The sequence below is a fragment of the Homo sapiens genome, chromosome 21, assembly GCF_000001405.40.
Source record: "Homo sapiens chromosome 21, GRCh38.p14 Primary Assembly".
Lineage (NCBI taxonomy): Eukaryota > Metazoa > Chordata > Mammalia > Primates > Hominidae > Homo > Homo sapiens.
In genome coordinates, this window is record NC_000021.9 from 12,980,454 (window position 1) to 12,995,733 (window position 15,280).

At 36.9% G+C, this 15,280-nt stretch overlaps 1 annotated feature.

The window, feature by feature from the left end:
* Positions 1,087-1,588: an enhancer, noted in NCBI's record as "OCT4 hESC enhancer chr21:14353861-14354362 (GRCh37/hg19 assembly coordinates)". NCBI's record gives its function as "activates a minimal SCP1, AML or CMV promoter by ChIP-STARR-seq in naive H9 embryonic stem cells {active_cell/tissue: H9 hESC(naive)}" and the evidence as "EXISTENCE:reporter gene assay evidence [ECO:0000049][PMID:30033119]".

Consider the following 15,280-nt stretch of genomic DNA (forward strand, 5'->3'; position numbering starts at 1 on the left):
TGAGACAAAATTCATCCCTGTGAGATGAATTCACACGTCATGAAGTAGTTTCTCAGAATGCTTCTGTGTAATTTTTATGTGAGGATATTTGCTTTTCCACAATAGGCCTCAAGGGGCTCCAAATATCCACCTGCAGATTCTGCAAAAAGAGAGGTTCAAAACTGCTCAATCAAAAGATACTTTCAACTCTGTGAGTTGAATGCACACATCACAAAGAAGTTTGTCTGAATGCTTCTGTGTAGTTTTTATTTCAAGATTTTCCTTTTCCACCATAGGGCTCAAAGGGCTCCAAATATCCACTTGCAGATTCTACAAAAAGAGAGATTCAAAACTGCTCAATGAGAAGATAAGATCAACTCTGTGAGTTGAATGCACACCTCACAAAGAAGTTTCTCAGAATGCTTCTGTGTAGTTTTTATGTGAAGATATTTCCTTTTCCACAATAGTCCTCAAAGCTCTCCAAACATCCACTAACAGATTCTGCAAAAAGAGAGATTCAAAACTGCTCAATCAAAAGGTTCAACTCTGTGAGTTGAATGCAAACATCACAAAGAAGTTTCTCAGAATGCTTCTGTGTAGTTTTTATGTGAACATATTTGATTTTCCACAGTAAGCCTCAAAAGGCTCCAAATATCCACCTGCAGATTCTGCAAAAAGAGGTATTCAAAACTGCTCAATCAAAAGATAGGATCAACTCTGTGAGTTGAATGTATATACCACAAAGAAGTTTCTCTGAATGGTTCTGCATAGTTTTATTTGCAGATATTTCCTTTTCCACAATAGGGTGAAAGGGCTCCAAACATCCACTTCCAGATTCTACAAAACAGAGATTGAAAACTACTCAATGAGAAGATAAGTTCAACTCAGTCAGTTGAATGCACACATCATGAAGAAGTTTCTTAGAATGCTTCTGTGTAGTTTTTATTGAAGATATTTCCTTTTCAACCATAGGGTGCAAAGGGCTCCAAATATCCACTTGCAGATTCTAGAAAAAGAGTGACTCTAAGTTGCTCAATCAAAAGATAGGTTCAACTCTGTGAGTTGAATGCCCATATCACAAAGAAGTTTCTCAGAATGCTTCTGTGTAGTTTTTATGTGAAGATATTTCCTTTTCCACCATAGGCCTCAAAGCTCTCCCAATATCCACTTGCAGATTCTGCAAAGAGAGATTCAAAACTGCTCAATTGAAAGACAGGTTGAACTCTGTGAGTTGAATGCACACAGCACAAAGAAGTTTCTCAGAATGCTTCTCTGTAGTTCTTATGTGAACATAATTGATTTTCCACAGTAGGCCTCACAGCACTCCAAATTTCCACTTGCAGATTCTACAAAAAGAGAGATTCAAAACTGTTCAATCAAAAGATAGGTTCAACTCTGTGAGTTGAACGCATACATCGTGAAGAAGTTTCTCAGAATGCTTCTGTGTAGTTCTTATTTGAAGATATTTGGTTTTCCACTGTAGGCCTCAAAGCGCTCCAAATATCCACTTGAAGATCCTACAAAAAGAGTGTTTCAAAACTGCTCAATCATAACCTAGGTTCAACCCTGTGAGATGAATGCACACATCACAAAGCAGTTTCTCTGAGTGATTCTGTATAGTTTTTATTTGAGGATATTTCCTTTTCCATCATAGGGTGCAAAGGGCTCCAAATATCCACGTGGATATTCTACCAAAAGATAAATTCAAAAATTGCTCAATGAGAAGATAAGTTCAACTCTGTGAGTTGAATGCACACCTCACAAAGTAGTTTCTCACAATGCTTCTGCATAGTTTTTATGTGAAGATATTTGCTTTTCCACTGTAGGCCTCAAAGGGCTCGAAATATCCACCTTCAGATAGTGCAAAAAGAGAGATTCAAAACTGCTCAATCAAAAGATAGCTTCAACTCTGTGAGTTGAGTGCACATATCACAAAGAAGTTTCTCTGAATGCTACTGCATAGTTTTTATTTCAAGATATTTCCTTTTCCAACATAGGGCGCAAAGGTCTTCAAATATCCACTTGCAGATTCTACAAAAAGAGAGATTGAAAACTCCTCAAAGAGAAGATAATTTCAACTCTATGAGTTGAATGCACACCTCACAAAGTAGTTTCTCAGAATGCTTCTGTGTAGTTTTTACGTGAAGATATTTCCTTTTCCACAATAGGCCTCAAAGCTTTCCAAACATACACTTGTAGTTTCTGCAAAAAGAGAGATTCAAAACTGCTCAATCAAAACGTAGTTTCAACTCTGTGAGTTGAATGCAAACATCACTATGGTGTTTCTCAGAATGTTTCTGAGTAGTTTTTATGTGAAGGTATTTCCTTTTCCACAATAGGCCTCAAAAGGCTCCAAATATCCACTTGCAGATTCCACGAAGAGAGTGTTCCAAAACTGCTCAATCAAAAGAAAGTTTCAACTCTGTGAGATGAATGCACACATCGCAAAGGAGTTTCTGAAATTTCTTCCTTCTAGATTTTATGTGAAGATATTTCCTTTTCTATCATAGGCCGCAAAGCGCTCCAAATGTCCACTTGCCGATTCTACAAAAAGGGTATTTCCAAACTACACAATCAAAAGAAAGTTTCAACTCTGTTAGCTCAACGTACACATCATAAAAAAGATTATCAGAATTCTTCTGTTTTTTTGTGTGAAGATATTTCCTTTTCCAACTTAAGCCTCAAGGTGCTTGAAATGTCCCCTTGCAGATTCTCCAAAAAGAGTATTTGAAAACTGGTTCTCCTAAAGAAAGTTGGAACTCCAGGGGATGAATGCAGACATCACACAGAACTTTCTCAGAATGCTTCTATCTACTTTTTATGTGAAGATATTTCCTTCTCCACCACAGGCCTCAAAGCCCTGCCAAATGTCCACTTGCAGATCCTACAAAAAGAGAGTTTCCAATCTGCTCAATCAAAAGAAAGGTTTAACTCCGTGAGATTAATGCACGCATCACAAAGAAGTTTCTCAGATTGCTTCTGTCTAGATTTTATGTGAAGATATTTCCTTTTCTACCATTGGCCGCAAAGAGTTCCAAATGTCCACTTGCAGATTCTACAAAAAGAGTGTTTCCAAACTACTTAATGAAAAGAAACGTTCAACTCCGTGAGATGAACACACTCATCACAAAGAAGTTTCTCAGAATTCTTCTAATTTTTATGTGAAGATATTTCCTGTTCCACCATAGGCCTGAAGACACTCTAAATGTCCGCTTGCAGATTCTACAAAAAGAGAGTTTCAAAACTGCTCAATCAAAAGGAAGGGTTATCTCTGTGAGATGAATGCATATATCACAAACAAGTTTCTCATATTTCTTCTGTCTAGATTTTACGTGAAGATATTTACTTTTCTACCATAGACCGCAAATCGCTCCAAATGTCCACTTGCAGACTCTACAAGAAATAGTGGTACCAAACTGCTCAATTGAAAGAACGGTTCCACTCTGTGAGAAGAACGCACACATCACAAAGAAGTTTGTCAGAATTCTTCTTTCTAGTTTTTATGTGAAGATATTTCCTTTTCCACCATAGGCCTCAAAGCGTTCAAAATGTCCACTTGCAGATTCTACAAAAAGAGAGTTTCAAAACTGCTGAATCAAAAGAAAGTTTAAACTCTGTGAGATGAATGCACCCATCACTAAGAAGTTTCTCCGATTGTTTCTCTCTAGATTTTATGTGAAGGTATTACTTTTTCTACCATAGGTCGCAAAGCGCTTCAAATATCCATTTGCAGATTCTACAAAAAAGAGTGTTTCCAAACTGCTCAATCAAAAGAAAGGTTCAAGTCTGTGAGATGAATGCACACATTCCCAAGAAGTTTGTCAGAATTCTTCTGTCTAGTTTTTATGTGAAGATATTACCTTTTCCACCATAGGCCTCAAAGCGCTCCAAATGTCCACTTGCAGATTCTACGAAAAGAGAGTTTCAAAACTGCTCAATCAAAAGAAAGGTTTAACTCTGTGAGATGAATGCACACATCACAAAGAAGTTTCTCAGATTGTTTCTGTCTAGATTTTATGTGAAGATATTTCTGTTTCAACAATAGGCCGCAAAGCGTTGCAAATGTCCACTTGCAGATTCTACAAAAAGAGTGTTTCCAAACTGCTCAATCAAAAGAAAATTTCAGCTTTGTGAGATGAACGCACACATCACAAAGAAGATTATCAGAATTCTTCTGTCTAGTTTTTATGTGAAGCTATTTCCTTTTCCACCATAGGCCTCTAAACGCTCCAAATGTCCACTTCGAGATTCTACAAAAAGAGTGTTTCCAAACTGCTCAATCAAAAGAAAAGTTTAACTCTGTGAGATGAATGCACACATCACAAATAAGTTTCTCAGATGGGTTCTGTCTAGATTTTATGTGAAGATATTTCCTTTTCTACCATATGCCACATAGTTCTCCAAATGTCCACTTGCATATTCTACAGAAAGAGTGTTTCCAAACTGTTCAATCAAAAGATAGGTTCAAATCTGTGACATGAATGCACACGTCCCAAAGAAGTTTCTCAGAATTCTTCTGTCTAGTTTTTATGTGCAGATATTTCCTTTTCCACTGTTGGCCTCAAAGAACTCCAAATATCCACTAGCAGATTCTACAAAAACAGAACTTCAATACTGCTCAATCAGAAGAAAAGTTTAACTCCATGAGATGAATGCACACATCACAAAGAAGTTTCTCAGATTTCTTCTGTCTAGACTTTATGTGAAGATATTTCCTTTTCTACTACTGGACTCAAAGCGCTCCGAATGTGCACTTGCAGATTCTACAAAAGAGTGTTTCCAACCTGCTGTATCAAAAGAAAGTTTCAACTATGGGGGATGAAAGCACGCATCACAAAGAAGTTTTTCAGAATTCTTCTGTCTAGTTTTTATGTGAAGAGGTTTCCTTTTCTACCACAGGCCTAAAAGGGCTCGAAATGTCCACTTGCAGATACTACAAAAAGAGAGTTTCAAAACTGCTCAATAAAAAGAAAGGTTTAACTCTGTGAGATGAATGCACACATCACAAAGAAGTTTGTCAGATTGCTTCTGTCTAGATTTTATGTGAAGATATTTCCTTTTCTACCAAAGGCCGCAAAGCGCTAAAATTGTGCACATGTAGATTCTACAAAAAGAGTGTTTCCAAACAGCCCAATGAAAAGAAACTTTCAACTCTGTGTGATGAATGCACGCATCACAAAGTGATTTCATAGTATTCTTCTGTCTAGTTTTTATGTGAAGATATTTCCTTTTCCACCACAGTTCTCAAAGAGCTTCAAATGTCCACTTGCAGATTGTTCAAAAAGTGTGTTTCCAAACTGCTCGATCAAAAAAAGCTTAACTCTGTGAGATGAACACACACGTCACATAGATATTTCTCAGATTTCTTCTGTCTAGTTTTTATGTGAATGTATTTCATTTTCCACGGTAGGCCTCAAGGGGCTTGAAATGTCCACTTGCAGATTCCACAAAAAGAGTAATAAATAACTGGCCCATCAAAAGAAAGGTTCAAATCTGGGAGATGAATGCACATATCACAAAGTAGTTTCTCATATTGATTCTATCTAATTTTTATGTGAATATATTTCCTTTTCCACCATAGGTCTCAAACCGCTCCAAATGTTCACTTGCAGAATCTACAAAAAGAGAGTTTCAAAACTGCTCAATCAAAAGAGAGGTTTAACTCTGTGAGATGAGCGTGCGCATCACAAAGAAGTTTCCCAGATTGCTTCTGTGTAGATTTTATGTCAAGATATTTCCTTTTCTACCATTGGCTGCAAAGTGCTCCAAATGTCCACTTGCAGATTCTACAAAAACAGTGTTTTCAAAAGGCTCAATAAAAAGAAAGGTTCAACTCTGTGAGATGAACGCACACATCACAAAGGAGTTTCTCAGAATTCTTCTGTCTAGTTTTTATGTGAAGATATTTCCTTTTCCACCAAGAGCCTGAAAGAGCTCCAAATGCCCAATTTCAGATTCAACAAAAAGAGAGATTCAGAACTACTCAATCAAAGGAAAGTTTTAACTCTGAGAGATAAATGCACACATCAAAAAGAAGTTTCTGAGATTGCTTCTGTCTAGATTTAATGTGAAGATATTTCCTTTTCTACCATAGGCCACAAAGTGCACCAAATGTCCACTTGCAGATTCTACAAAAAGAGTGTTTCCAAACTGCTCAATCAAAAGAAAGGTTCAACTCTGTGAGATGAATGCACACATCAGAAAGAAGTTTCTCAGATTGCTTCTGTCTAGATTTTATGTGAAGATATTCCCTGTTCTACAATAGGCTGCAAAGCGCTCCTAATTTCCACTTGCCGATTCTATAAATAGAGTGTTTCCAAACTGCTCAATCAATAGAAAGTTTCAACTCTGTGAGATGAACGCACACATCACAAAGAAGTTTCTCAGATTGCTTCTGTCTAGATTTTATGTGAAGATATTTCTTTTTTCTACCATAGGCCTCAAAGCGCTCCAAATATCCACTTGCACATTCTACAAAAAGAGTGTTTTCAGACAGCTCAATCCAAACAAAAATTCAACTCTGTGAGATGAACGCACACATCAGAAAGAAGTTTCTCAAAATGCTTCTATCTAGTTTTTATGTGAAGATATTTCCTTTTCCACCATAGGCCTCAAAGAACTCCAAATGTCCATTTGCAGATTCTACAAAAAGAGAGTTTCAAAACTGCTCCATCAAAAGAAAGGTTTTACTCTGTGAAATGAATTCACACATCACAAAGAAGTTTCTCAGATTGCTTCTGTCTAGTTCTTAGGTGAAGATATTTCCTTTTCCACCACAGGCCTTAAAGCGCTCCAAATGTCCACTTGCAGATTCTACAAAAAGAGAGTTTGAAAACTGCTCAATCAAAAGAAAGTTTTAACTCTTTGAGATGAAAGGACACACCACAAAGAAGTATCTCAGATTGCTTCTGTCTAGATTTTATGTGAAGACATTTTCTATTCTAACATAGGCTGCAAAGAGCTCTAAATATCCACTTGCAGATCCTTCAAAAACAGTATTTCCATACTGCTCAATGAAAAGAATGATTCAACACTGCAAGATGAAGGCACGCATCACAAGGAAGGTTCTCAGAATTCTTCAGTCTGGTTTTTATGTGAAGATAATTGCCTTTTCCAACATAGGCTTCAAAGGCCTCCAAATGTCAACTTGCAGATTCTCCAAAAAGAGACTTTCAAAGCCGCTCAGTCAAAAAATGTTTAATTCTGTGAGTTAAATTCACACGTCACAAAGAATTTTCTCAAATTTCTTCTTTCTAGATTTTATCTGAAGATATTTCCTTTTCCAGCATGGGCCTCAAAGTGTTCCAACTGTCCACTTGCAGATTCTGCAAAAAGAGAGTTTCAAAACTGCTCAATCAAAAGAAAGGTTTACCTCTTTGAGATGAGTACACACATAACAAAGAAGTTTCTCAGATTGCTTCTGTCTAGATTTTATGTGAAGATATTTCCTTTTCTACTATAGGCCACAAAGTGCTGAACATGTCCACTTGCAGATTCTACAAAAAAAAATTTTCCAAACTGCTCAATCAAAAGAAAGGTTCAACTCTGTGAGATGAACGCACACATTTCAAAGAAGTTTCTCAGAATTCTTCTGTCTAGCTTTTATGTGAAGATACTTCATTTTCCACCACAGGCCTCAAGGCGCTTGAAATGTCCACATGCAGATTCCACAAAAAGAGTATTTCAAAACTGGTCCATCAGAGGAAAGGTACAGACAGCTCTGTTGAATGAATGCACCCTAAAAAGAATTTTCTCAGATTGCTTCTGTCTAGATTTTATGTGAATATATTCCCTTTTCTACCATAGGCCGCAAAGCGTTCCAAATGTCCACTTACAGATACTACAAAAAGAGTGTTTTCAAACTGCTCAATCAAAAGAAAGGTTGAACTCTGTGAGATGAACCCAAACATCACAAAGAAGTTTCTCAGAATTCTTCTGTCTAGTTGTTACTTGAAGATGTTTCCTTTTCCAACATAGAAGTTTTTCAGATTGCTTCTCTCTAGATTTTATGTGAAGATATTTCTTTTTCCACCGTAGGCCTCAATGCATTCCAAATGTCAACTTGCAGATTCTACAAAAAGAGAGTTTCAAAACTGCTCAAAAAAAGAAAGATTTAACTCTGTGAGATGAACACTGCTTCTGTCTAGATTTTATCTGAAGACATTTCCTGTTCTACCATAGGTCGCAAAGCACTCCAAATTTCCACTTGCCGATTCCACAAAAAGAGGGTCTCCAAACAGCTCAATGAAAAGAAAGTTTCAACTCTGTGAGATGAAAGGACACATCACAAGGAAGTTTCTCAGATTGCTTCTGTCTAGATTTTATATGAAGATATTTCTTTTTTCTAACATAGGCTGCAAAGCGTTCCAAATGTCCACTTGCAGATTTTTACAAAAAGAGTGTTTCCAAACTGCTCAATCAAAAGAAAAGTTCAACTCTGTGAGATGAACGCACACATCACAAATACGTTTCTCAGAATTCTTCTGTCTTGTATTTATGTGAAAATATTTCCTTTTCCAGCATAGGCCTCAAAGCCCTCCAAATGTCCACTTTCAGATTCTACAAAAAGAGAGATTCAAAAGTGCTCAATCAAAAGAAAGGTTTTACTGTGTGAGATGAATGCATACATTGTAAAGAAGTTTCTCAGATTGCTTCTTTCTAGATTTTATCTGAGGATATCTCCTTTTCCACCATATGCCTCAAAGTACTCCAAATGTCCACTTTCAGATTCTACAAAAAGAGAGTTTCAAAACTTCTCAATCAAAGGAAAGGTTTAACTCTGTGAGATGAATGCACACATTTACCAAGAAGTTTCTCAGATTTCTTCTGTCTAGATTTTATGTGAAGATATTTCCTTTTCTAAAATAGGCCGCAAAGCGCTCCAAATATCCACTTGCAGATTCTACAAGAAGAGTATTTCCAATGTGCTCAATCAAAAGAAATGTTCAACCCTGTTAGATGAATGCACACATAGCAAAGCAATTTCTCATATTACTTCTGTCTAGATTTTACGTGAAGATATTCCTTTTTTCTACCATAGGCTGCAAAGAGCTCCAGATGTCCACTTGCAAATTCTAGAAAAAGAGTGTTTTCAAACTGCTCCATCCAAAAAAAGTTCAACTCTGTGAGATGAATGCACACATCACAAAGAAGTTTCTCAGAATTCTTCCGTCTAGTTTTTATGTGAAGATATTTCCTTTTCCACCGTAGGCCTCAAAGCGCTCCAAATGTTCACTTCCAGATTTTAAAGACAGAGTGTTTCCAAACTGGTCAATCAAAAGAAAGGTTGAACTCTGTGAGATGAACTCACGCATCAAAAAGAAGTTTGTCAGAATTCTTCTGTCTAGTTTTTATGTGAAGATATTTCCTTTTCTACCATAGGCCACAAAGCACTACAAATGTCCAATTGCAGATTCTACAAAAAGAGATTTTCAAAACTCCTCAACCAAAGAGAATTTTAACTCTGTGAGACGAATGCACACATCACAAAGAAGTTTCTCAGATTACTTCTGCCTAGATTTTATGTGAAGATATTTCCTTTTCTACCACAGGCCGCAAAGCTCTCCAAATGTCCACTTGAAGATTCAACAAAAAGAATGTTTTCAAACTGCTCAAACAATAGAAATTATCAACTCTGTGAGATGAAAGCATGCATCACCAAGAGGTTTCTCAGAATTCTTCTATTTTTTATGTGAAGATATTTCCTTTTCCACCATAGGCCTCAAAGTGCTCCAAATGTCCACTTCTAGATTCTACAGAAAGAGTGTTTCCAAAATGCTCAATCAAAAGAGGTTTAAATCTGTGAGATGAATGCACACATCACAAAGAAGTTTCTAAGAATGCTTCTGTCTAGATTTTATGTGAGGATATTTCCTTTTCTACCATAGGCTGCAAAACGCTTCAAATGTCCACTTGCAGATACTACAAAAATAGTGTTTCCAAACAGCTCAATCAAATGAAAGTATCAACTCTGTGAGATGAACCCACACATCACAAACTGCTTTCTCAGAATTCTTCTGTCTAGTTTTTATGGGAAGATAGTTCCTTTTCCACCATAGGCCTCAAAGCGCTCCAAATATCCACTAGCGGATTCTACAAAAAGAGTGTTTCAAAACTGCTCAGTCAAAAGAATGATTAACTCTGTGAGATGAATCCACACATCACAAAGAAATTTCTCAGATTCCTTCTGTCTAGATTTTATGTGAAGATATTTCCTTTTCTACCATAGGCCACAAAGAGCTCCAAATTTCCACTTGCAGAATCTCCAAATGAGTTGTTTCCAAACTGCAGAATCAAAAGAAAGTTTCAACTCTGGGAGTTGAACACTCGCATCACAAAGAGGTTTCTAATAATTCTGTCTAGTTTTTATGTGAAGATAATTCCTTTTCCACCATAGGTTGCAAAGCGCTCCAAAAGTCCACTTGCAGATTCTACTGAAAGAATGTTTCCAACAGCTCAATCAAAAGAAAAGTTCAACTCTGTGAGATGAATGCACACATCACAAAGAAGTTTCTCAGGATTCTTCTGTCTAGTTTTTATGTGAAGATATTTCCTTTTCCACCATTGAACTCAAAGCACTGCAAATGTCCACTTGCCGATCCTAAAAAATGATTTTCCAAACTGCTCAATCAAAAGAAAATTTTAACTCTGTGAGATGAATGCACACAACACACAGAAGTTTCTGAGATTGCTTCTGTCTAGATTTTATGTGAAGATATTTGCTGTTCTTCCGTAGGCCACAAAGCCCTCCAAATGTCCACTTGCAGATTCGACAAAAAGAGTGGTTGCAAAGTGCTTAATCAAAAGAAAGGTTCAACTCTGTGAGATTAATGCACGCATCACAAAGAAGTTTCTCAGATTTCTTCTGTCTGGTTTTTATGGGACGATATTTCCTTTTCCACCATTGGACACAAAGGGCTCCAAAAGTCCACTTGCAGATTTTACAAAAACAGAGTTTCAATACACCTCAATCAAAAGAAAGTTTTAACTCTCTGGGATGAATGCACATATCACAATATCACAAAGATGCTTCTCAGATTGCTTCTGTCAAGATTTTATATGAAGATATTTCCTTTTCTACCATAGGGCGCAAAGCACTCCAAATGTCCAGTTGCAGATTCTACAAAAAGAGAGTTTCAAAACTGCTAAATCAAAAGAAACTTTTAATTCTGTGGGATGAATGCACACATCACAAAGAAGTTTCTCAGATTGCTTCTGTCTAGATTTTATATGAAGATATTTCCTTTTCTACCATTGGCTGCAAAGCTCTCCAAATGTCCACTTGCAGATTCTACAAAAAGAGTGTTTCCAAACTGCTCAATCTAAGGAAAGTTCCAACTCTGTGAGATGAACGCAGACATCTCAAAGAAGTTTCTCAGAATTCTTCTGTGTAGTTTTTATATGAAAGTATTAACTTTTCCACCACATGCATCAAATCGCTCCAAATGTCCACTTGCAGATTCTACAAAAAGAGAGTTTCAAATCTGCTCTATCAAAAGAAAGGTTTACTTCTTTGAGATGAATGCACACATCACAAAGAAGTTTCTCAGTTTGCTTCTGTCTGCAATTTATGTGAAGATATTTCCTGTTCTAACATAGACCTCAGAGCACTCCAAATGTCCACTTGCAGATTCTACCAAAAGAGTGTTTCCAAACTGCTCATTCAAAGAAATGTTCAACTTTCTAAATGAATGCACACATCATAAAGAACTTTCTCAGAATTCTTCTGTCTAGTTTTTATGTGAAGATAACACCATAGGCCTCAAAGCCTTCAAAATGTCCAGTTGCAGATTCTACAAAAAGAGGGTTTCCAAAGTGCTCAGTCAAAAGAAAGGTTTACTCTGTGAGATGAATACACACACCACAAAGAAGCTTGTCAGGTTGCTTTTATCTAGATTTTATGTGAGGATATTTCCTTTTCTACCATAGGCAACAAAGCACTCCAATAGTCCACTTGCAGATTCTACAAAAAGAATGTTTCTAAACTGCTCAATCAAAAGGAAGATTCAACTTTCTGAGATAAACTCATACATCACAAAGGAGATTCTCAGAATTCTTCTGTCAAGTTTTTATGTGAAGATATTTCCTTTTCCACCATAGGACTCAAAACTATCCAAATGTCCACTTGCAAATTCTACAAACACAGAGTTTCAAAACTGCTCAGTCAAAAGAAAGTTTGAACTCTGTGAGATGAATGCACACATGCCAAAGAAGTTTCTCAGATTCCTTCTGTCTAGATTTTTTGTGAAGATATTACCTTTTCTACCATAGTCCGCATAGCGCTGAAAATGTCCACTTGCAGAATCTCCAAAAACAGTGTTTCCAAACTGGTGAATCAAAAGAAAGTTTCAACTATTTGAGTTGAAGGCACACATCACAAAGAAGATTCTGAGAATACTTCTGTCTAGTTTTTCTGTGAAGATATTTCCTTTTCCACTATAGGCCCAAAAGCGCTACAAATGTCCACTAGCGGATTCTACAAAAAGAGTGTTTCAGAACTTCTCAATCAAAAGAAAGGTTTAACTCTGTGAGTTGAATGTACACATCACAAAGAAGTTTCTGAGAATGCTGCTGTCTAGATTTTATATGAAGATATTCTCGTTTCCAAGGAGGGCCTCAAAGGGTACCTAATATCCACTTGCAGATTCTACTAAAGGAGTGTTTCAAAATGACTCTATGATAAGGTATGTTCCACTCTGTGAGTTGAAGGCAAACATCAAAAAGAAGTTTCTGAGAATGCTTCTCTCTAGTTTAGATGGGAAGATACTTCCTTTTCCACTATAGGCCTCAAAGTGTTCCAAGTGTCCACTTGCAGATTCTACAAAAAGAGTGTTTCAAAACTGCTCTATCAAAAGAAAGTTTCAACTCTGTGAAGTGAATGCACACATTACAAACAAGTTTCTGAGAATGCTTCTGTCTAGTTTTTATGTGAAGATATTCCCGTTTCCAACGAAGGCCTCAAAGCAGTCCAAATATCCACTAGCATATTCTACAAAAAGAGTGTTTCAAAACTGCCCCCATGAAAATGAATATTCAACTCTGTGAGTAGAATGCAAACATCACAAAGAAGTTTCTGAGAATGCTTCTGCCTAGTTTTTATGTGAAGATATTTCCTTTCCCACCATAAGCCCCAAAGCGCTCCAAATGTCCACTTACAGAATCTACAAAAGAGTGTTTCAAACCTGCTCTATCAAAAGAAAGGTACAACTCTGTGAATTGAATGCAAATATCACAAAGAAGTTTCTGAGAATGCTTCTGTCTAGATTTTATGTGAAGATATATCCTTTTCTAACTTAGGCTGCAAAGCGCTTCAAATGTCTACTTACAGAATCTACAAAAAGAGTTTTTCCATAATTCTCAATCAAAAGAAAGTTTCAACTCTGTGAGATAAACGCACACATCACAAAGAAGTTTCTCAGAATTCTTCTCTCTAGTTTTTATGTGAAGATATTTCCTTTTCCACCATAGGCCTCAAAGCACTCCAAATGTCCACTTGCAGATTCTACAAAAAAAGAGGTTCAAAACTGCTCAATCAAAAGAAAGGTTTAACTCTGTGAGATGAATACACACATCACAAAGAGGTTTCTCACATTGGTTCTGTCTAGATTTTATGTGAAGATATTTCCTTTAATAACAGGTCGCAAAGCCCTCCTAATGCCCACTTGCAGATTCTACAAAAAGAGTGTCTGTAAACTGCTCTATCAAAAGGAAGTTTCAACTCTGTGAGAAGAACTCACATATCACAAAGAAGTTTCTCAGAATTCCTCTGTCTAGTTTTTATGTGAAGATATTTCCTTTCCCACCATAGGCCTCAAAGTGCTCCAAATGTCCACTTGCAGATTCTACAAAAAGAATGTCTCAAACCTGCTCTATCAAAAGAAAGGTTCAACTCAGTGAGTTGAATGCACACAGCACAAAGAAGTTTCTGAGAAATCTTCTGTCTAGTGATTATGTGAAGATATTCCCGTTTCCAATGAAGGCCTCTAACCGGTCCAATTAAACTCGTGCAGATTCTACTAAAAGAGTGTTTCAAAACTGCTCTATGAAAAGGTTTGTTCAACTCTGTGAGTTGAAGGCAAACATCACAAAGAAGTTTCTGAGAATGCTTCTGTGGTTTTCATGGGAAGATATTTTCTTTTCCACTATAGGTATCAAATTGCTCAAATGTCCACTTGCAGAGTCTACAAAAAGATTGTTTTAAACCTGTTCTATCAAAAGAAAGTTTCAACTCTGTGAGTTGAATGCACACAGCACAAAGAACTTTATGAGAAAGCTTCTGTCTAGTGTTTATGTGAAGATATTCCCGTTTCCAAGGAATGCCTCAAAGCGGTCCAAATATCCACTTGCAGATTCTACTAAAAGAGTGACTCAAAACTGCTCTATGGTAAAGTATTTTCAACTCTGTGAGTGGAATGCAAACATCACAAAGACGTTTCTGAGAATGCTTCTTTCTAGTTTTTCAGTGAAGATATTTCCTTTTCCACTATAGGCCTCAAAGCGTTCCAAATGTCCACTTGCAGATTCTGCAAAAAGAGTGTTTCAAATCTGCTCTATCAAAAGAAAGGTTCAACTCTGTGAGTTGAATGCACACATCACAAAGAAGTTTCTGAGTATGCTTCTGTCTAGTTTTTCTGCGAAGATATTTCCTTTTACACCATAGGCCTCAAAGTTCTCCAAATGTCCCCTTGCAGATTATACAAAAAGAATGTTTCAAAACAGCTCTATCAAAAGAAACGTTCAACGATGTGAGGTGAATGCACATATCACAAAGAAGCTTCAGAGAATGCTTCTGTCTGGTTCTTATGTGAAGATATTTCTTTTTCCACAATAGGCATCAAAGCTCTCCAAATGTCCAGTTGCAGATTCTACAAAAAGAGTGTTTCAAAACTGACCTATCAAAAGAAAGGGTCAACTCTGTGAGTTGAATGCACACATCACAAAGAAGTTTCTGAGAATGCATCTGTCTAGTTTTTATGTGAAGACATTCCCGTTTCCAACGAAGGCCTCAAAGCAGTCCAAATATCCACTAGGAGATTCTACAAAAACAATCTGTCAAAACTGCTCCATGAAAACGTGTGTTCAACTCTGTGAGTTGAGTGCAAACATCACAAGGAAGTTTCTGAGAATGCTTGTGTCTAGTTTTTATGCGAAGATAATTCCTCTTCCACCATAGACCTCAAAGCCTTCCAAAGGTCCACTTGCAGATTCTACAAAAAGAGTGTTTCATACTTGGTCTATCAAAAGAAAGGTTCAAATCTGTCAATTGAATGCACACCTCAGAAAGAAGTTTCTGAGAATGCTT